This window comes from Homo sapiens, chromosome 10 (genome assembly GCF_000001405.40).
Source record: "Homo sapiens chromosome 10, GRCh38.p14 Primary Assembly".
Lineage (NCBI taxonomy): Eukaryota > Metazoa > Chordata > Mammalia > Primates > Hominidae > Homo > Homo sapiens.
This window is the reverse complement of record NC_000010.11, coordinates 35,176,156-35,200,085: the sequence shown is the minus strand read 5'-3', so window position 1 is coordinate 35,200,085 and position 23,930 is coordinate 35,176,156. Positions and strand designations below refer to the sequence as shown.

The 23,930-nt window shown below is 38.3% G+C and overlaps 1 protein-coding gene across 83 annotated transcripts in view; it reads right to left on the bottom strand.

Annotated features, from left to right (window-relative positions):
* The window catches only part of CREM (cAMP responsive element modulator), an 86,113-nt gene that overhangs the window by 12,873 nt on the left and 49,310 nt on the right, over positions 1 to 23,930 (bottom strand). For 26 of the 83 annotated variants that reach the window (XM_024447824.2, XM_047424625.1, XM_047424628.1 and 23 more), the window contains 3 exons: positions 21,100 to 21,197; positions 20,810 to 20,952; positions 11,698 to 11,886 (listed from right to left, as the gene is read on the bottom strand). The exons of 5 other annotated variants lie outside the window; for them this stretch is intronic. In XM_024447824.2, the coding sequence (XP_024303592.1) occupies positions 11,698 to 11,886; positions 20,810 to 20,952; positions 21,100 to 21,197 (430 nt within the window). Of the gene's footprint in view, positions 1 to 3,546; positions 3,658 to 3,943; positions 4,237 to 4,871; positions 4,954 to 11,697; positions 11,887 to 20,238; positions 20,953 to 21,099; positions 21,215 to 23,930 lie in introns of those variants that run through there. 52 more of the 83 variants (XM_047424630.1, XM_047424629.1, XM_006717382.4 and 49 more) reach the window with 13 other exon arrangements.

The window sequence follows — 23,930 nt, the reverse complement described above, 5'->3', positions numbered from 1 at the left end:
GAAACCCTGTCTCTACTAAAAATGCAAAATTAGCCGGGTGTGTTGGTGGGTGCTTGTAATCTCAGCTACTTGGGAGGCTGAGGCAGGTGAATCGCTTGAACCTGGGAGGCAGAGGTTGCAGTGAGCCAAGATCACGCCACTGTACTCCAGCCTGGGCAACAAGAGTGAAACTCTGTCTTAAAAAAAAAAAAAAAAAAAGCCATTTTAACGACTTAAAATAATATTAACCTAACCTCATTTTATATGTTTTATAAGCAGTGTGTAGCAGCATGTACTCACGTGACACTGCATTCATGTGTCAATGTCAGGTGACTTTTGAGGAGTCACATTAATATGCTATGAGCAGAACCCGAGGATTCTGAAGACTCGAACGGGTCCACTACTTGCTAGCTTTGTAAACTTGGAAGTCATTTACCCAGTCTGACCTGGGTGTAGTTGGGCATGTATCAGTGAGAATGCCTGTAAACTGCCTTTTTTAGCATTTGAACATGGTTTCCTAGTGAGGCCTACCTGATCCCTTAACCTGTATGTCCTGTTTCTGTGTCAGTCACAATCTGATAGTTTCTTTGACAGCACTTTCTATAGTTGGTATTCATGTTTATTTGTAACATTAAGTGATTTTTTTATTTTAAAGTTTACATAAATGCAAAGTATATTTTATTAGAATATAAATGAATAAATATATTTGCCTAATATATTCATATAAACAGGGCAAAGTGAAATAAATATCCCAAATTACATTTCGTTATGCATTTTTCAAAAGTAGTAGGAAAATAACATGAGTAATTTCCAATTTCACCCTGCAGATTTGGTTTACTGAATCTTAAGGTAGATAAATGCCTTGTTATTTTCACTTCCAAAGTGATTATAACTTGTTCAGTTACCAACTTCAAGAAGCTGTCACACCTAAATGAAATTATTCTTTTTTGTTGTTGTTGAGACGGAGTCTCGCTCTGTCACCCAGGCTGGAGTGCAATGGCACTATCTCAGCTCACTGCAACCTCCACCTCCCAGGTTCAAGTGATTCTTCCGCCTCAGCCTCCCGAGTAGCTGGGATTACAGGCATATGCCACCACGCCCGGCTAATTTTTGTATTTTTGTGGAGATGGGCTTTCACCATGTTGGCCAGGCTGGTCTTGAACTCCTGACCTCAGGTGATCAGCCCACCTCGGTCTCCCAAAGTGCTGGGATTACAGGCGTAAGCCACCACGCCCAGCCTCGAAATTATTCTTTTATGTAAATATTTTTAAGCAAAAATAATTGCTAATAGCCTCCTTTCACAAAGGTGATATATATCCTTATTCTCATGCATCAAATATTAACTAAGACACTAGTTTTCCAAATTTGTTGGAAAGTTTGTTTTAAACAATGCAGAAATCCAGCCAGAATGCAACGTCAGAATGCAACGTCAGACTCAGAGTCTAAAAGATAGGAAATTATGCTCCTAACAGAATCAGTTTATGAATAAAACAAAGGCAATTTCTAATAAAAATGTAAATTATGCCCCACAAAATCAATAATATAATCCCATAAACTATAGTCATTTACTTTTTTTTTTTTTTTGAGATGGAGTCTCGTTCTGTCACCCAGGCTGGAGTGCAGTGGTGCAATGTTGGCTCATTGCAATCTCTGCCTCCCGGTTTCAAGCCATTCTCTTGCCTCAGCTTCCCGAGTAGCTGAGATTACAGGCGCGTGCCACCACGCCTGGCTAATTTTTGTATTTTTAGTAGAGACGGGGTTTCACCATGTTGGCCAGGCTGGTCTTGAACTCCTGAGGTTGTGATCCGCCCGCCTTGGCCTCCCAAAGTGCTGGGATTACAGACGTGAGCCACCGCGCCCGGCCAGTCATTTGCTTTTAATATTTCACTTCATGATCCTGTAGGTAAATGCTGCTAATATCTTTTCCAGGCCAGCCATTAGTGCTAGGAGCCTGATTTTGGTCTAGATCAAAGTTTTTCAAACTGTAAGCTGTAGACCATTAATGGGTCAAAAAGCAAATTTCATGGGTCAAGAATAGCATTTTAAAAAAAGGACAGAAAAGGAATTATGGGTACATCATATTTTGTAAGGATAAGAATTATGTCTGAAACTTGTTTTATATAAATGTAGGGTACATACACACATAGGTCCACTTTGCCGTGATAATTAACGTGGGTCATGGTTGAAAAGTTTGCAAGCCACTAATCTAGATCTACTTGGTCTGCCGATCCATAGGGTTACCTCAGAACTGAGAGCCCAGAGGTCTGGTTCCTAAAGCTACTCTACTACACCTTCAAAAAAGTCCCTTAACCCTGTGCTCTTCTGGCTTTAAAAAAATAAAGTAAAATGAGGCCGAGCGCGGTGGCTCACGCCTGTAATCCCAGCACTTTGGGACGCCGAGGCAGGCGGATCACGAGGTCAGGAGATCGAGACCATTCTGGCTAACACGGTGAAACCCCGTCTCTACTAAAATACAAAAAAACAAAATTAGCCGGGCGTGGTGGTGGGCACCTGTAGTCCCAGCTACTCGGGAGGCTGAGGCAGGAGAATGGCGTGAACCCGGGAGGCCGAGCTTGCAGTGAGCCAAGATCCAGCCACTGCACTCCAGCCTGGGCGACAGAGCGAGACTCCGTCTCATAAAATAAATAAATAAATAAATAAATAAATAAATAAATAAATAAATAAATAAAGTAAAATGAAATAAAATTTATTACTCATTTTTCAAATAGCACTGATTCTGTAAGAAATGACCAGATTTTTAAAAATATGATTTCCAAAGGCAAAATCAGGTCTTGTGAAAAAGTGTTTTAAGTTGTTTGACATTTTAAAGTTTCAGCATTTTGAAAAGTTTAAATTGGAAAAGGAAAATCAATCATGTGTAGCATTATTGGTAAAACTGTGAAAAAAACTTTCAAGGATGTTATGTTCATTCTGTAAAAACAAATGTCAAAAATGTTTGTTTATTTATATGTAGTGGTTAAAAGTATACAGCATTGCCAAGGAGGGCGGATCACGAGGTCAGGAAATCGAGACCATCCTGGCTAACACGGTGAAACCCCGCCTCTATTAAAAATACAAAAAATTAGGCGGGCGCCTGTAGTCCCAGCTACTTAGGAGGCTGAGGCAGGAGAATGGCGTGAACCTGGGAGGCGGAGCTTGCAGTGAGCCAAGATCGCGCCACTGCACTCCAGCCTGGGCGACAGAGCGAGACCCCGTCTCAAAAAAAAAAAAAAAAAAAAAAGTACACAGCGTTTTCACATCATTTTATTTATTTTTTGTTATGAGTCTTATGCTTAGACAAGTCAAAGGGGTAATAGGAATGAAAGGCTTGGTAAAGAAAGATATTAACCAATAATTTTTAGAAAATATATGTACAAAAGTGCCTTCTGGTTCTAAGAATCATATGACATGCAGTGTTTGAGATGATTTTAAGTTCATCTATGTCTTATAATAAATTCATCATTTGAGTTCTGCAGTCTATAGCATCTCTAGAACTTCACAAAACTTCGAGAAAAAAATAGTTCCTCAAGACAGTTTTAAAAACAATGTAATACAGGTTTTACTTACTCAAGACAATCCAATGTTCCTATCCACAAAGAGGGCTGAGACCCATTAACTTCGAAGAGCTAAATTGTAGTGAAGTTGTTTAAAACTCTTAATTCAACTGCAAATTCAGTACTGTATTACAAACAAGACCACTGAATAAACAACACTGCAAGCACACAAAGGTTATTAGTAACTAAGTCTTCCAAAATCACTCTTTGTTACTGAGAAAAGCAAACCTAGTGAAAAATTACCGATTACAAATTTAAATACCAGAGGCTGGGAGAACAAGTAAAAGACAAGCACTTCCCTGACTGAACACTAGAGGAGCTCTGAATCGCAAGTTCCTATAGATGGAGTAAGAGGATGGAGTAAGAGTAAAGAACCCGCCAGCTTATACAATACATAATCCATTTCTCACCAGGCGCATGCAGGGACGGCCTCAGTAGGAGGCTCGATCTTACCACTAAGCTGGCCAGACAACTCCTGAGTTCTGTTCATGCATTACAGTTTCATGACGTGTTTCCCTCTTCAAGCAGACAACCACTTCAAAAGAAATGTTAAAGTAGGGCTAACAAGAAAAGCTATTCAGTCTAAAAGGCAGCTTGGAGGCAGAGGCAGTGGTGAGCTAGTTAACTCTAAATCTGTCAGCAGCATTTTACAAAGCGGAAAGGAACTGACTAAATCACAACATGACTCGGAGCTGACGTCAATGTGCAGCTCGCTTGGAGTTTTAACTTTTCCACTTCCCCTGCTGAAATACGATTCCAGGAAATGTAATGACATCAGCCTTTTGAACTCAATTAGCTGAACAGACCATTTTAAATACAGGAGGAAAGAAACAAGTAGGCACACAAACATCCATAACACGCGGGTTTTTCCTATTCTGTTTGGAGCTGCATTTGTCCACAGTAATGAAATCAGAACATGAACGGTATATACTGTATGTTTAATCTGCGGCTAGATTGAATTTGCAACAGGTTGCCTATGAAGTAACAGCTTATTTTAGTAGGGCAGAATGGTATGCATATGAAAGAGAGACACAGAGATGGAGGAGAGGGGAAGAGAAGAGGAGGGGAAGAGTGGGGAGGAGGGGAGGGAGGATAGAGGGAGGAAGAGAGGATTAGTGCCTCAGTCAAGCAAGCAATAGAATATTGAGCAAAGAAACAATCACACTAAGATGCCCTAACAAAGTGAGCTGAATATATAGATGTATATTTCAAAAAAAGTCTTACACCTAAGTGACTAGGAGAGTAACACTTTCTGAAACACTCAGATGTTCCTGAATACTTCCTAAACTTCAAAACAATCTGCACAATTAACTGAAAACCCCTCTTTAACATTCTTACCTGTGTCATCTCCAGTTACAGCCATAATGGGCTTCTGCAGACAGAACTGTCTTGTTTCCTCTACCACAGTTCAACATAAAGTGTTCCAAATTAGCAAGCATGTGCAGGATAAGCAGGAGGACTGACATCACAATGACATCACTAGCCTATCACTGCCATCAATTTGCTTTGTCACAGGCGAGCTCACTGAAACCCAAGCCCTATAAAAACTCTTCCTGTAATAAACCATCTTAATGCTCTTGTTTCTCATTTTTACATAGAAATCTGTTTGAGGTGGGCTCTAGCAAATAATAATAATAATAATAATAATAATGTCTCTTTTAGCATTAAAAGTTACATGATTGTATCTTACAGGGCTACTTCTTTATTATTGTTGTGTCCAAGGCTTCTAGGTAAACTAAGGGAGAATAAACCCAACATAATTTCCTAACTCATAAGAGAAAAAACACTTGGAGATTTAAAAAAAAAAAAAACACATTGACTATCAGCAAAGAAATACCATATTTCATAGTCACTTCTAAACTCACCAAGAAATATCCAGCCACCTGTGTTCACTTAACATTTTTATTTGCTGAGCCATTTGCTACACCATCAAAAAATCCAACTCTTCCTAAGGTGATACAGAATTTGCTACTTTCACTTAAAGGGAGTAGATAATTAAATTTTAAAAATTCACTGTGCCAATGGAGCAAGTATTATGTAGTATTCTCCCATAACTACTAGATTGAATCACATGAACTTGCTGATATTTGAACTTTCTGGCCTACAAAAATAGCAGTTTCATGTGATTCAATCTAATACCTTATTTTCCCAGATTAAAACCCCCTGAAAAGACATTTGGGATTTTTAAAATTCATAAATAAATCAAAATTACTATTTGTACATTTTTTTTAAATGTCAAATTTTATTTGGATCACTTAATGAAGGCTTGGCACATAGAGAGCTGGATCATTATAGGAAATTCAGTGATTATAAGGTTAGACACAAAAATGGGCGAATGTTCAACCATAGAACAGACCATAGCCTGGAAAAAAATTATTGGCATTTCCACTGCAAAAAAATAAGTGACATGCCACTGAGACCTTTTGTCTTTTTTTTTTTTTTTTTTTTTTTTTTTGAGATGAAGTCTCGCTATTCTCCCCCAGGCTGGAGTACAAAGGTGCAATCTTGGCTCACTGCAACCTCCGCCTCCTGGGTTCAAATGATTCTCCTGCCTCAGCTTCCCAAGTAGCTGGGATTACAGGTGCCCACCATGCCTGGCTAATTTTTGTATTTTTAGTAGAGACGGGGTTTCACCATGTTGGCCAGGCTGGTCTCGAACTCCTGATCTCAGGTGATCCACCCACCTCAGCCTCCCAAAGTGCTGGGATTACAGGTGTGAGCCACCGCACCCAAAGCCCTTTCCCTTGTATGATTAGAATTCAACCCAACCTTATGTCAATGAAAGGACATCCCACCACATTTTAGCTGTATTTAATTTAATCATCTTCCAGTAAAGGTAAGGACTTTACACCTCAGATGCTCAGGAGGTAAAGTTTCAGGGAGTGTCCATGTTTCTAGTAATTCTCCAGGATACCTGACAATGGGGTTAGGGTTTCAATTCAGCTGAAGATATCTTGGCTGAGTAAGGAACCCTGGATGGTCACCTAGACATCAACCTCAATCTGGGGCTCCAGCAGGGACTCTTTGCTGTCCCAGTCACACCTGAGGGTTTGGGTCCAAGAATGCTATTAGTAAATTTTATTTCAAATTTCAGAAAATCAATAAGAAATTGATTTTTATGTCAGCATTTCTTTAAATTGGCACATAGATGCTCAATAAATATTGGTGTGAAAAAAAAGGCAAGGAAGGAAAGAAAGAAGGGAAATGGGTTGCTTAGTTGATTACTGCTCTTAGTAGTTTTAATGTATTCCCTGGACCAGTTAATCTCAAGTCAATCAGCACACAGAACAAATCACATTTTCAGAGGAAGAACAGTTCACTTTCATTTGGTAAATGCTTACTGAACATTTATCACATGCCAGGGTCTGTGCTAGGTATTTGTCCAAATAGAACTTACCATCTAGCAAGACAGAGAGCCACAACACAACATGATATGTGCCTAAGGAAGTACAGTAGGAACTCACAGAAGGTTGCCTAAGCCAGATGTGGAGGATGGGCAAGGCTTCCTCGGGGAACGTATTCTTATCAGGCAATCGGTATGTGTGAAGAAGGCCCTGGAGGGAGAGAGGGCATGGCCTATCCCAGGAAATGAAAGAAAGAGCTGTATTACAAAAGAGGGAGAAGTGGAGAGGTAGGCAGCTATTAAAGAATGCAAGGCTTGGATCAAGCAAAGATTTGGGCCACATGAAAGATTTGGAGCTTTGTCTAACAGGTCACAGACATTGATGGATGCTTTTGAGTGGATGCTATAGACTGAATGTTTGTATCCCCACCCAATTTCCTCTGTTGAAATCCTCACCTCCAATGCAATAGTATTTGGAGGTGGAACCTCTGAGAGGTGATGAGGTCATGAGGGTGACACCCTTGTGAACAGGATTAGTGCCCTTATTAAAAAGACCCCAGACACCAGGTGTGGTGGCTCATGCCTATAATCGTAGCACTTTAGGATGCCGAGATGGACGGATTACCTAAACTCAGGAGTTCAAGACCAGCCTGGCCAACATGGTGTAACCCCGTCTCTACTAAAAATACAAAAATTAGCTGGGCATGGTGGTACATGCCTGTAATCCCAGCTACTCGGGAAGCTGAGGCAGGAGAAATGCTTGAGCCCAGGAGACAGAGGTTGCAGTGAGCTAAGATCACATCACTGTGTTCCAGCCTGGCCAAGAGAGTGAGACTCTGTCTCAAAACAAAACAAAACGAAACAAAACAAAACAAGTGCAATGCAGTAATGGAGATGTTGGGGGCAAGAAACTGCTGTTTTTAAGAACTATCAGTGGCTCCCAGAATCACTGTGAGGAATGAAGAGTTTAGCTGAACTTTCAGGAACAATTCCCAAAAAACTGAGCCAAGAAGGGAGCTGCTGCCTCTGGCATGATTAGGAGGATCAGAAAGCTGTTCCACAATAGCCAGCTTCCGGTGGCTGCCGGAGACTGTAGCCCACAGGGGTAGCCTGGGTCAGAGGGATAGCACCCAGGCCAGGGCCAGGGCCAGGACAGAGGGCTGTGGAGTGGCAGAAGCATTCATGGCTCAGCCAGGCAGAAGAATCTACACAGTGACTTTGAATGGAGACTGGGAAGAATACTGGACAACACCTAGGTTTCTGGCATCAAGGATAGTAGTGGTCAATCACTGAAGATAGGAAGAGTGGATTTTAGGAGTCAGAGGTATGTGTGGCCATCTAAGGAACCAGCTGGAGTCAGGACATAGTCACAGTGAACTGAAGCCAGCGTGGGAGGGAGTCCTTCAGGGAGGGAGCTCAGCAGGAAGAGGGTGGGGGAGTGAGCCTGAGGATCACTGAAACACTCAGGACAGGGGCAGGGGAAGCTTAGCCCAGCAACAGGACTGACAGAGAAGCAGCAGAGAGAGAAGAGCAAGGAGGACACAGTCTCAGGAAGTGGAGGAAGCAGAAGTCGACAGTGTTAAATACTGCTGAGGCATCAGCCAAGACAGGCACTGAGAATCCACAAAGAAGCTGACAGGGCCCTTCAGTGAGATGAAGGGAGAAGGAGGGCAGGGAACACTGCCACTAAGTTCAGGAAGACAAGAATGCCCACTGGCCTTGCTGTGTTTAAACTGGAGCTCCTGGCCATGATTATTTAAGGAAAAGAAAAAAAGAGAAAAAGAAAACAGGAATAAAGATTGGAAGGGAGGAAACAAAACATCACTATTTGTATAAACATTCACATAGGATCACAGACCGAATCACAAAGAATCAGTAAATTATTAGAAGTAATTAGAGTTCAGCAAAGTTAATAGATAAAAGATCGACTTAAAATAATCCGTATTTCTCTACACCAGCAACAATTAGAAAATACAATACAAAATAAGGTACCATTGTAATGGCAACAAAACCCATAAAGTACTTAGGAACCAACTAAAGAAAGAATATGCAAGATCTCCGTGAAGAAAAATGTTCAACTGTTCCCTAAAACTTAAAGTATAATAAATAAATAAATAAATAAAAAGAAAAATGTTCAACTGTTAAAAGAAGTAAAATGAGATCTGAATAAACAAGACTTTCTATGGTTTGGGATAGGTCAACTTAACATTATGAAGACTTCAGCTCTCCCTAAATTAAATGCAGTCTTGGCTGGGCATGGTGGCTCATGCCTGTAATCCCAGCACTTCGGGAGGCTGAGGTGGGCGGATCATGAGGTCAGGAGATCGAGACCATCCTGGCGAACATGGTGAAACCCTGTATCTACTAAAAATACAAAAAAATTAGTCGGACATGGTGGCAGGCGCCTGTAGTCCCAGCTACTTGGGAGGCTGAGGCAGAAGAATGGCGTGAACCCGGGAGGTGGAGCTTGCAGTGAGCCATCGTGCCACTGCACTCCAGGCAGGGCAACAGAGCGAGACTCCATCTCAAGAAAAAAAAAATTAATGCAGTCTCATCATTGGTTTTATTATTATTATTATTACTACTACTATTTAGAAACTCAAACTTATTCCAAATGCATATGAAAGAATAATCGTGCACAAAAAACTAACTCTGTATCAAACTGAGAAAAAAGACAAGGGGAACTTGTTTTATGAGATAACAAACATGTATGGCGCTGGGATTCAGAAAAAGATGAATCAGACAGAAGACTGGCCAGATCCAGGTGCAAAAGCAAACCCACTGTCTAATTAAGGCTGCCCCATACACCAGTGAGGAAACAACAAACCCTTGGGAGTGGCTCCATATACGGAGAAAAAAGTTAAAAATGAATTCCCACCAAATACTATATACAGAAGTGAAGCCCAGATACATTAAAGACATAAATGTGAAAGGTAAAACCATAAAGCAAATAGAAGAAAATGTGGAAAAAAATCTTTGTGACTTGTGGAAGAAAATTCTTAAAAACCCCAAGGCACAAACTTACGTGCATATTGTGTAAAACATTAAAAATTCTCAAAACTCTGTTGTTTGCAGTAGATTCTTCCATGTAACAAAGATAAAATGAGAAGAAATAATTATTCTTTAAGATTATTCACCTAGACATAAATATGGTCCATGAGTATGGGGGGAATAGAACAGGTGGCTTTCATTTTACATTTCAAGAAAACATTAAAGTACTGGGTTTGTACTATGCATTTTTTACTCCATAAATGCCACCACCTCAGTTCTTCACACACTTTTACCATAGTCCACATTAACCCCCAAAATACCTGAGTATAATTATCAAGAGACTCATCAATTATAATATGCTTATCATACCTGCAAGACATTCGAACTAAAATAACTGATTTTACTTTCCTTAACGTTAGTGCTGCCTGTAATCCCAGCACTTTGGGAGGCCAAGGTGGGTGGACTGCCTGAGCTCAGGAGTTCACGACCAGCCTGGGCAATACGGTGAAACCCCGTCTCTACTAAAATACAATAAATTAGCCGGGCATGGCGTTATGCACCTGTAGTCCCAGCTACTCGGGAGGCTGAGGCAGAAGAATTGCTTGAACCTGGGAGGCGGAGGTCGCAGTGAGCCGAGATCGCGCCACTGCACTCCAGCCTGGGCAACAGAGCGAGACTCTGTCTCAAAAATAAATAAATAAATAAATAAATAAACAAACAAACAAACAAGCAAGCAAATTTTTAAAAAATAGTGCTATATCCTAAATCCTAAGCGAATGGACCAAGAGGAATAGAATTCAATTAAAACACAGGAGTTTTGAAAGCTGTATTAAATACATCTATTACAGTTATCATAGGCACAACTGAATTAAAATAATGTATAACGCAAATCCAGTTGAAATCTCAGGTAACCCTAAAAGCTTAGGGCTACATCTCAACTTTTATTTCATTACTGACAGCTTCCATAAGAGCTAGAATGGATACTTCAGAATTCAAACAACTAAGAACAGTCAGTCAAAAAAACAAACAAACAAAAAAAAACAAAAAACCCAAAGTCAGCATTTGTTTTGAAATGAGTTGCCTAGAAATTAGACTTGAAAGTAACAGCTAGGGAAAAAAACAAATTTGGGGCATCATAGCCTGAATACTTAAATTGTCATAGATTAGGTAATAGAAATCTATTAGGTACAACATTTGCAACCCCCAAATGAAGGATATCTAATTAATTTAAAAATTCATTCATGTGGCCGGGTGCGGTGGCTCACGTCTGTAATCCCAGCACTTTAGGAGGCTGAGGCCTCCACCTGAGGTCAGGACGACTCCATCTGAGGTCAGGAGTTTGAGACCAGCCTGCCCAACATGGTGAAACCCCGTCTCTACTAAAAATACAAAAATTAGCCAGGCGTGGTGGCTCATGCCTGTAATCCCAGCTCCCCGGGAAGCTGAGGCAGAAGAATCACTTGAACCCAGGAGACAGGTTGCAGTGAGCCGAGATCACGCCATTGTACTCCAGCCTGGGCGCCAGAGCGAGACTCCATCTCAAAAAAAAAAAAAAAAAATTCATTCATGTTTCTATCTCTCTTTTTCTATCATGCTACTCTGAATTTGGCCTTTCTCCAGAGCCAGTAAAACCTGCTAAAAGGCGAAAAATGATAAAACTTAATTTGCTGTTTAATGTATTAAAATATTTCTTCTGTAAGCCTTTTTAAGTGCCTCCCAACCCCCCACCATCTACCTTCGATCTATTTCAAAAAACTATAAAATCACCACTCAATGGTGTGATATAGTAATCCATAGGTATTCTAAATGTATTAGATTAATAAAATATACCTTGAACAACAACCTGGCTGCCTGGGACAAAGAACTGCTGTGTGCCATCAGCTGATTGTGCTGCGTACTGTACAATTGTAGCACCTGGTGGAGGAGCTCCTGAATTTGTCATTGTTAATGCCTGCAGTCCCTGAACACCATCAGATCCTGGGTTAGAAATCTGGATTGTTCCACCTTGGGCTATAGCAACTTAACAGAAAAAGAAAAGAAATATTAGAGAATTTCAAGATTTATTTTTAATAATCCCCTATTGGAAGAATATACTCTGGGTCTATTTATTACCATTGCTTCTTTCTCAGGTTACCCTTATTTTCTATGCTGAATTGAGAAGGAAGATCAGCTTCGTCATGGGACGATACTCTAGGAAAAGCTTATAAACACTTGAAAATATTTTATATTCAGAAATGTTTGAGATTCATAGAGCCCATGGAGTGTTCCTCCTCCTTAGCATCCAGCTGACTACATCACTCAAGAGGAAGAGTGGAGAAGGAGACAGGGAGAGTCCAGCTTCCTGGTTTTCTCCATTCTCTCAGATGTTTTTCCTTATAAACACCATTCTTCTACCATTTAAAATTCCCATTTAAGGCCAGGTGTGGTGGCTCATGCCTGTGATCCCAGCACTTTGGGAGGCCAAGGCAGGAGGATCACTTGAGCCCAGGAGTTCAAGGCCAGCCTGGGCAACACAGGAAAACCCTGTCTCTAAAAAAAGAAAAGAAAAGAAAAGAAAAATTCCCATTTAATATTGCAATTAAAATGAATTTCTACCTTCATTCAGCTAACTACTTTTCTGATTTGTCATCAAAAGAAAGTAGTTTTTAAGAAATATATAGGCAAGGTGCAGTGGCTCACGCCTGTAAACTTAGGACTTTGGGAGGCCAAGGTAGGCAGATCACCTGAGGTCAGGAGTTTGAGACCAGCCTGATCAATATGGTGAAACCCCGCCTCTACTAAAAATACAAAAATTAGCCAGGTGTGGTGGCAGGTGTCTGTAGTCCCAGTTACTCGGGAGGCTGAGACAGGAGAATCACTTGAACCCGGGAGTTGGAGGTTGCAGTGAGCTGAGATTGCGGCACTGCACTCCAGCCTGGGCAACAGAGACTCCATCTAAAAAAAAAAACCAACATACATATAATTATATATGTTATATATAATTATATATTTTATATATATAAATATATAATATATATTATATATTAATATATTTATATATTAATATTAATATATAATATATATTATATATATTATATATTAATATATTAATATATTTATATATTTATATAATATATATCATATATATTATATATTATATATATTATTATATTAATTATATATATTAATTATATATAATATATATTATATGTGATATATATTATATATTATATTATATATAATATATAATATATATCACATATAATATATAAATTATATATTTATATATATAATTTATATTGTATTTATATATAACATATATTTTAATAATTATTATATTTTTATAATTATTTATATTTTATATATAATATATAATTATATATAACATATATACGTATATATACCTATATATGTATATATGTTATGTACAATTATATATAACATAATTATGTTATATATAATTTGTTATATATTATATATAACTATATATAATTATAACTATATATAATTATATATAGTTATATATGTTGTATATATGACCAAAATTTTTAATATATATTTATTATAATTATATATGTCATATGTTATATATAACTATATAATTTACATATATTATATATTTATATATAAATATATATAAAAACATATTTTGGTTATAAAGCTAAAGTCTAGAAAACTGTAACCTTTGCCATTTTGTCTATGTCAGGAGAATCCTGAAATATAAATTGTCAAGTTGCAAAGGTCCTTAAAAAGTAACTGTTACTAAAAGGATTTGTGCTACAATATTTACCTCTACCAAGTATCTCAAGTAACTACAGCTAATGGCAACAAATAGGAAGTAGATTTCCTTTAAATACTGAGATCTGCCAGTCATGTTTAAAAGTTAACATATTAATTGACTTGAAGCTTCCAAAGAATAACTGATCAAACGTTTTGTTTCAAAATTTCACTCTAATAGACAAGTATTATTTAAAATATCTGAAAGGTCTGTATATTTTAACATAAAGATTCCAACTGCATGCTTCAAACAGTAGATATTAAATGGTACCAGAGGCTATGCTTTTTAAAAAATCACATATAAACTAGCTAACTAGGCTTTACAATGAAGATTTTAAAAACACATCACCAGAATAACATGACATCTATACATCAATGTAAATACCTTACAGTAGCGTAACAGTAGTGTTTAAAATACACTCTGAATATTTTCAAGTCATTTCCAAACGTTTTTAAAGGCATCTAGGCAAAAAAGCACTTAGGCGATAACCTGATAGGACAAACCTATGAGAATTATGGAAAGAGTAACAACAACAAATTTTCACTTCTTTCACCTAAGGTGCCAGTGTCTACACAGGAAGATAGATTAACATTTTTAAAAAGACTTCCACATGCTGCGTTCTCTGTGTTTTATTTCACTGACAGGCCAGTGTGGCAGAAACTGAAGAGTCAGTTACAGAATGTCAATAGAACTGAGGTTGAGACACCCTGATGTAACAGCACTTTATCTGGCTCACCTAGAGCAGTTATTTTCTGTACACACTTTAAAAACAGGGTATTTTTAAACCATGGCTTTCCAAAGATTTCATGGGTCTCAGGATTCAGCCCTCATAGTAAAAGGGTTTGAGAGAGATCTAACTAACTTCTTACAAGTATGAAAATGTCAAAAGACACTGCTTTCTTGGCCCCTTGTGGCTAGACATGAGTAAATTGTGTATGTTTTCATATATTTGAATGTGTATTTTTCAGTTGATAATTAGTTTGATGTCACAGAAATAGTGCTTTAGAAAGAGCAGCCCAAGGTCAGGTAACCACAGTGTATTAGAAGTACAAAGCCTAGGCCGGGCGCGGTGGCTCACATCTGTAATCCCAGCACTTTGGGAGGCCGAGGTTGGTGGATCACCTGAGGTCAGGAGTTCAAGACCAGCCTGACCAACAAGGAGAAACCCCGTCCCTACTAAAAATACAAGAAATTAGCCAGGCGTGGTGGTGCATGCCTGCAATCCCAGCTCCTCGGGAGGCTGAGGGAGGAGAATCGCTTGAATCTGGGAGGCGGGGGTTGCGGTGAGCAGAGATTGCACCATTGCACACCAGCCTGGACAAGAGCAAAACTCCGTCTCAAAAAAAAAAAAAAAAGAAGTACAAAGCCTAGAACAGAGCAGCCACTCAAAAAATAGAATGAATGAATGAATGAATGAATGAATGAATGGCTATCATTTCCTCATGACAGATGATATTATAAAAAACTTAAGCCCCCTGTGAATCTAGGAGAGTTAAATGAGGTATGGTTTCAAATTCCAATCATAGAACCTAGTTTTTCAACACCAAATTATCAAGCTTTTAAATAACGATCAAGTCAATCTGAGGTGAGAGTAGCTGCCTCAGGGTAAGAACCCCTAAATAGGTAGATAACAAAGACCTTTACTTCCTTTTTTCTCTTTCTTTTTGCTTTACTCGTTTCCTTTTTTCTTTTCAGTAATGTTTCCCCACAGTTCTGATCAAAAAACTTTGTTTTCACAATATGAACAGCTGACACATCAAGAATCTGTTTCTCATTTTATTTTCTGGGGAAGTCATTATATAATTAGATATGGAAAACAAAAGCTAAACAAACACACACACACACCCCTCACACACTGGCTCTAGTGAGAAAACATTTCTACTGATTAAGTCAGGCACGTCAGCCTCATTTTCATTTTTATGCCAAAGGTGCTCTTGATTTTGTTGTTATCAAATGACAGAGGACCTTCCCATTGAAAATGTTCTCTCTCATCTGACAATAAACAAAATTTCCCAGTGCCTCAGGATCCTGGAAATAGGTTTTACGTGGGCCTGTCTGTATTCAGAGATTTGAGGAGAAAACTGTTTAGGTTTCAAAATAGTCAAGGATAGCATAACATGTGCTTTCAATAAACATAAATCAAGATAGAAAAAATAAGATGAAATTAACTGAATGAATTTAGACATATCTTCTATTTTAGCTATTTATTTAAGAGATGGGGTCTTGCTGTGTTGCCCCACATCCTGATATTGGTCTAGCTGGTCTTAAACTGCTAGGCTCAAGCAATCCTTCTGCCTCAGCCTTCTGAGTAGCTGGGACTACAGGCACAAACCACCAAGCCTGGCGATGTTATACACTTCTTATTTATTTATTTGTTCATTTATTTTGAGATGGACTTTCACTCTTCTCGCCCAGGCTGAAGTGCAATCGTGTGATCTCAGCTCACTGCAACCTCCACCTGCTGGGTTCAAGCGATTCTCCTGCCTCAGCCTCCAAAGTAGCTGGGATTACAAGTGTGCACCACCACACCCGGCTAATTTTGTATTTTCAGTAGAGATGGGGTTTCACCATGTTGGCCAGGCTGGTCTCGAATGCCTGACCTCAGGTGATCCGCCCACCTCAGCCTCCCAAAGTGCTGGGATTACAGGCGTGAACCATCACGCCCGGCCCATGTTATATACTTCTAATCCTAAATTTATACACATGAGCTAATTAAAATACATACACATGTAAATGTTTATATTTAAAACCACTCTTGTTCCAAATTGCAATCCAAAGATTCATAAATGAAATCTCACTGCATTAACTTTAAAAACAGCAGCAAACAGACCTTTGTTCCAATGAATTCTCAGGTTTAAATTCAGAGTGACCATAAGAGAGCACCTATGAGTACTTGTACCTTAAAAGCCAAGAGGTGCATTATAGCAGAAGGAAGACTAAATCATGCTATAACAACAATAGCAACATCAAAGTTTAAAAGCCAGAGTTACATTAAGTAGTGCCTTAAAAAATTTTGAAACAGTTGCCTTAGAGAAATGTAAACAACGTCACTATTAAGAACTGCAACTGGATTAACTTTCGAATGTGTAAGCCTATTATGTTCTAATTCCCTTTATGAAGAAGTTGAATTGGTGCTTATTCGTGAGCCTCCTGAGAATTCTGAATTCTTATAAGGAGTCCACAAAGTTCATATTTTTCTTTTCATAATGGTGCAGTTTAGATTGACCCACTTACCTTTCATGTATAAGAATTCCAGAAAGATGAGTTAATACTCTAATAAGATTCCTCGTAAAATACAATAGGCACAAGCAGAGACAAGGGCCATTTGTGGGAAAAAAACTGAAGTCTTGGGTGATAGTCTTTAATTGGTACAGGAAGAGGTTGGGTATAGTAGGATGGAGGATTTAAGTAACCTTTGTTTCAAGAGGAAATTTAATGAATTAGGAAGCTTCAAACATTTTAATTTCCTCGGTTGCTTTTACAAATTCACTCATTTACTGCCTATCTTAACTGTCTCATGCAGCAAGTAACATTCTTTGTTAATTCTAAGGCTGTCTCTCTCCCGCCATCTCTCGGGTATATGCTTCTGAAATAAAAGACTTTCTTCGACCAGCTCAACTGTTATGCAACACACCTATCACTAAGATCTGTACTTCCAGTGAGGATTCTGCAGGTACAGCTCACTTACTTGGTGTTGTAATAATGGATCCCTGTCTATTTTATGCTTTTTCCTACTCCCCAGGGAGCAGCCTATTCCAACTTTCACTTTTTAGTTTTTGTGATAATAGTAAGTCAATATAATAAGGCCAACTTCTGCCAAATATCTTTCAACTATTAAAAATGTAACTGCTTGTATATGGGAAAACTTGAATATACTTTATTTCTTCAACTTTGATACACATTTAGTTCTTTTAAACACCAGCTAACTCATTATTCCAAATTAAAAATAACTAATAAAATATTGGAAAAAAAGAAATAAAAGCAAAGTTTGGGAGAAAGCCATCCATGGATAAAAGCTGAACAATTAAACCTAAAATTTTTTTTTATAATAAAAGGTTATGAAAGAGCATTAAAAAAAATTTACAGCTCAAAGGGAAGGAAAAAAATAGGAAAATCTCCAGAAATTCTAATAAAATACGTTCCTCTATTCAAAAACCAAAGGAAACTGGCAATTGTTTCCATTTCTAGACATTCTGCTACAACATTAAAGCATTAATATCTGCTAAGTTAGTTCTATAAAAAATAAGATCAATAAAAATGGATGTTGTGTGTGTAAGTATGTTTACCCTCCAATTAAAGTAAACGTCTTCTAAAAAGTTTGAATGTTGTTAGTATTCACTTCTCAAAGAATTATCTACATATATTTCACTAAATGTCCCCAAAATGCATTTTTAACAAAAGAAATTCACATTGTGTGAACAAATGGCAATTTTTACCTGCAGACTGTACATACAGAACTATAACTTCTCATCAGAATAATTTCTAGGATCATACTGTATAGACTCAAATTAAGAAACCAAAGTAAGAAATAGTCCATGACCTCTTATGTGGCAAATAGACAGATGTGTTTTTTTTGTTTGTTGTTTTGAGACAGAGTCTCACTCTGCTGCCCAGGTTGGACAGTGCAGTGGTGCAATCATAACTCACTGCAGCCTCAAACTCCTGGGCTCAGAGAATCCTCCCACCTCAGCCTCCTGAGTAGCTGGGATGAGCGCATACCACCACACCCTGCTAATTTTTAAAATTCTTTTGTAGAGACAGGGTCTCACTCTATTGCCCAGACTGGTCTCAAAGTCCTGGCCTCAAGCAACCCTCATTGCCTAGACCTCCCAAAGTGCTGGGATTACAGGTGGGAGCCATCACACCTGGCCTAAGATCTAATTTCTACAGATGCAGTTTTCTAGTTCTCAACCAAAATTCCTGACTCTGCTCCTCTCATCCCCCCCACAGACACACAGAGTGAGGTTTAAGGCCAGCCCCCTGCTGTGAGCAGGTACCAAGGACACAGGGAATGAAGCCATTGGGGCTGGCTGGAGGGAAAGTTCAATGAACATGAATGAGACAATGGTACACCTAACTTAATTTCTCTGTTTCATGCCAATAGTAGCATGTCTTTTTCCCCCTACTTTTACCCATTATCTCCTTTGTCTTCACAGGAACCCCAGAGTTTGGCAATTTAGTATTATTCCCACTTCAAAGACTAAAACCTGAGATGTGAATTTAATAAAGCTTCTTGCTCTGATCATTGAGTTTGCAAATGGCACAAAGATGGTTCCTTCCACATCCTCTCCAGCTTCAACCCCATACATTTTCACAATTTCAAATTTTCAGCTAATAATCTAGACAAGTTAACCCTACAGCATCTGCTTCCCTATCAACTTGTAAAGGAATCACTGCTTCTATCAGAAGTCCTAAGTAGCATTAGCATATGCCAGAGAAATGTTACGATGACAGCATCTTAGTGGTTCCCAACACTTTGAGAAGTCTTAGTGTCATTTCAGCAGTCACTTCCAACCTTTTCCCTGTCATTACACAAACAGAACATGATGACATGTGTACAGCCCACTGGGGTGAGTGGATGGAGCTGCTCAAGGCCAGGGCTGACCAGCCAGGAGGCGCCAGCAGCTTCTGCCCAGCCCCTCTGGGGACGGGGGGACGAGGCACTCAGCACTCTCATAACCTGCGTGCTGTGCTGTAGAGGCTCATCAGCTGGCATATTCAGTTTTACAGTTCTAAAACCCACCAGAGATTCCCAGTGTGCCAGACAAAAGAGCATGTAAACGAGAGAAGTAATAAAAAAATGACAATGTAAACCTCAAGGTCTATTTCTTACAGATGGTGGGGATTTTCTTTTCCTAACACTGACTTTGGACAAGTCTACTGGGTGCCCTGTCAAACGTGTGAATACACTACACCCCGGATCTGCTAGGTATCATGGTAGGAGTTCCCCTCAATTACCAACAGAGAATGTATTTAATAGTTTACTACTGCAAATCTACCACTGCTACAAGAAAAACTCTAAAAAGCTCCACAAAAATAATGACTATATAAAGTCTTCTCATACATTAAAGATTATAGCTTGTTTTAGTAGTCAGGACTTAAATTAAGACTTGAGTTTTTTTTTCTTGGTATTGCTACTTTTTAAAGGAAAAACAAAGAATATATCTAAAATCTTAATACCTTATTTGGATAAACACATTATTTAATATCACATATATTCCAGTACCTAAGTAGCTCTTTTTAAAGTCAGAAAACTAAAATTATGAATCTCTTCAACAACATGACTGCTGTCAATATATTTGTTCAATTACTTTGAGGACCTAGGGTAGCAGAGTTTACAAAACTCACTTTACTTCATATTATAATTACATGGGAAATTGATTTAGACAACTTCCATGGACAATTTATACTTCAGAAAGGACAGGAATATCACATTATTCCAGTACCTAAGGGGCTAGCTTAGGATATGTGATATCCCTAACCTTTCTCCTCCTTTTTCTTTTCTTTCTAGCTCTTGCTTTTTACGTATCAAACACTCTTCTTTTGGGAAAAAAACTAGTGCTTTAATCAGAGCAAAAAGCACAGAATTAACGGTCCATTAAAATGCACAAGACTGAATGTGAATGTATCTGTTTATTTAGAGCTTTCAGTGTGTAAAATTTCAAATAAAATTATCTATCCAATTGCTACAGTTTAAAAAATTAAATCATTTTTCCATTCTCTTTTAGGAAAAACTGTAGCACAAATTAACAGAGTAGAGAGTAGTGAAACATTGAAAACATACTTTAGAAAACTCTCAGATTAGTAAGAATAGTATGTAATTGTGGGTAACAAAAGCCAACAAGAATGAAATACAGACATTTATGTTCGCATGCATCATAAAGACAACAAAAACAATGTTTTACTAGAGATTAATATAAACATGTAAATAGGAAAAATTCTCCTTTTTACCCCAAAATTTTCTTCTATATTCGGCAGTCAAAATTTTTACTTTTCAAAATTATATGACAGCTGTCAATACAAAGATCTCACTTTTTAACATATACTTTCATTCTATGATACAGTTTAGGTATTAATGATGCATTTTAAAATGGAACAATTTAATGCCAAAACCTGAGTTGCTTCAATATAACTAGAGAAGACTTAAAGCTAGCACTGTATCATATCGAATTGCAGCATACATACTGTATTGCCCCGTGCTAGTCTGATATATGCTAGTTGGTACTGCCATGGTAGCAATACTAGGTGGTGTTCCTTCTTCCTCTGATCTCTCTTCTTCAATCTTGGGAACACCAGGCACATCAGAGGACAGTTCATTCAGTATTTTCCTAAAATACAATTTAACAAGGTAAGTCACTAAGATACATGAATAAGTCTTAAAACAGAAAAGCTATAAAGGAAGAATTGATTTGATGTATAATTATTCTACCATTTTGGAAAAAGTATCTTTACATTAGGAAACTTGGTTAACTTACCTATAAGAGGGTCTTCGTGAAAGGATTTCTCTACGTTTATGAGAATCAATTACACCTTCTGATTCTGCAGATTCATCTGTCTCTGCAATTGCTGCTACCTATAATACAAGATTTTCTGAAATGTATCATAAAATATATGCTCTTTTCCCTCATTCAAAAAATTGAGGCTAAGAGTCTGTGTGTGCAGCACTGAGCCAGGAGCTGTGGAAGCAACTGAGCAATAGAACACAGTGAATCTGCACTGAAGGAGTCTGGCTCAAGAAAGGAAGCGCAGACGCAAACATTTCAGTTATAAAACAAATGTGTGTGGAAAGGAATGTTACGGGTACTCTATACTACAGAAATACTAGGGAAAGAGTGGTTGGGATGTCAAATGAGGCATTGCAGGAAAGAACAAAATGTAAAATACCCAAGACCTAAGCTCCTCAACCTGAAAGTGCTCCTACGAATCCAGGAGGGAGCCAGCGAGGGGCCAACGCAGAAGAGAGCTCCCGGATCACACTGCTGTTCCCACACTCTCACAGCTGGCGCTGGCGTGAGCTGGGTCTTCACATTAGCCATCAGATAGGCCCAAGACAGAATATTTAAGTAGATAAGCAAGTCAGTAAGCAAGCCTGGGTAAAATCAGGATTTCTATTACAAGGAGTAAGTTAGGGCTTGGTGGCGGTGGGTCTTGAAGATCCAAATAAAGCATTTCTCCTTAAGAGAAAGATCAGAGTTTTAAGCATGATTTCATTTTTCAAGTCAAGTAATAATACAGTGATATGATTATTAAAGAAGTCAGAAAACTAAAATAATGAATCTCTTCAACAACATGACTGATTTTGATATATTCAGTCAATTATTAATACTTTGAGGGCCTAGGGTAGCAGAGTTTACAAAACTCACTTCATATTATAATTACATGGGAAATTGATTTGGACAAAATCAAAAGAGCTTATTAAAATATCAACAATGCAAGCAAGAATATATACTTCCCGAAGTACACGGAGGTGTATATTCACCTCCACATATGACTCGTGTTTTTGCTCATGAACGCCCCACACATAAGCACACACACCCAATCAACAGGACTGAGAAAAATGTTGTTGCCTCAGATAATCATATATCACCACCAAATATTAAATATTTATCATTTTACACCGGGCTGTCACACATCTGTCATAGAATCATAACAACTCCCTTAGGTGAGGTAGGCTATTAATTTACCTATTTTAGAAAGGTGAAAATTAAAGTTCATGCACAGAGATTAAGTGGCTTGACCATGATCCAACACGTAAGTATTCTAGGACAAGATCCACTGGCACCTCTTTCTACAAGGACAATTAAATCGTTCACTTAACAAAATCCAAACAAAGTCTACTGAATATAACAGAATACTTTCTTTCAGCCGGGTGCTGTGGCTCACATCTGTAATCCCAGCACTTTGAAAGACTGAGGCAAGAGGATCACTTGAGGCCAGGGCCTCAACACAAACCTGGGTAACATACTGAGAATTCTGTCTCTATTAAATAATAAATAATAATAATAGACAATACTTTCTTCCAATACCAGCCAGGTTAAAACTAAGTAGAAATATGTGGACCTCAATAAAAGTCATAAAACAAAGAAGAGGTTGGAAAGACTTTCTTGTTTTATAATTAGTGTCAGAAAGAATTAGAAACTCTTGGAATCAGGGGCCATCACAGGAAAAAAAGATAATGATGAGAATTATTCTTACACTTCTGGGAAACACAGGAGAAAATACCCATGCCACAAAGATAATCAAGCTTTTAATGTATGTGAATTTGTCACATCAGGTATCTTGTCGCCACTCTTATCATTCTACTGTGATAAACTACTTGAACACGCAAGAAAAGGACTATACTATGTATACGTGTCTCCATTTTCCTCACAGATTTTTTTTTTTGTCATCAATTAGGTTCAAATAATTTCAGCATTTAAAGGATAATAACTGACCTTAAAAATGAACAAAAATAAATTCAGTAATTAAGATGCATACTTTAAAAAATGCATATTTAATAATTTACATCTATTGATGGAAAAAATGTTTTAACTTCAAGAAATGTTAAGGGTAAAATACATCTCTGGATCACAACCACAATAATAATCATATCTACAAAAGCCAAGGTTTAATCGAGAGGGATACATTAATAATATCATCTTACCAAGAATTATGTATACCGAATTTAAAATAAATTTATATCTACCTACTAAGGTGATTATAAATTTATATCTACCTACTAAGGTGATTATTCATGAAAACAGCATCAGCACTGGCTGGGCGCAGTGGCTCACGCCTGTAATCCCAGCACTTTGGGAAGCCGAGACAGGCGGATCACGAGGTCAGGAGATCAAGACCATCCTGGCTAACACGGTGAAACCCCATCTCTACTAAAAATACAAAAAAAATTAGCCACGCATGGTGGCGGGCGCCTGTAGTCCCAGCTACTCGGGAGGCTGAGGCAGGAGAATGGCGTGAACCCGGGAGGTGGAGCTTGCAATGGCCCGAGATCATGCCACTGCCCTCCAGCCTGGGCGACAAAGCGAGACTCTGTCTCAAAAAAAAAAAAAAAAGAAGAAAAAAAAAGAAAACAGCATCAGCACTATAATCTTTATATTACTGTGTTTATCACACATCTTCTCTGATGCACCCTCAAAATATTTTTCAGCACCCTTGGGGAGCATTGCTAAATAAATCTGAGTTTGAACACAGAACAACAAAGTGAAGAAGACATGAACTGCTCATCTGCAATTACTCAGTCCCCAAATGAAAAGTTGGCAACAAAGCTGCAGCTCTGAAGTGAAACCTACGTACCTAGCAGGACACA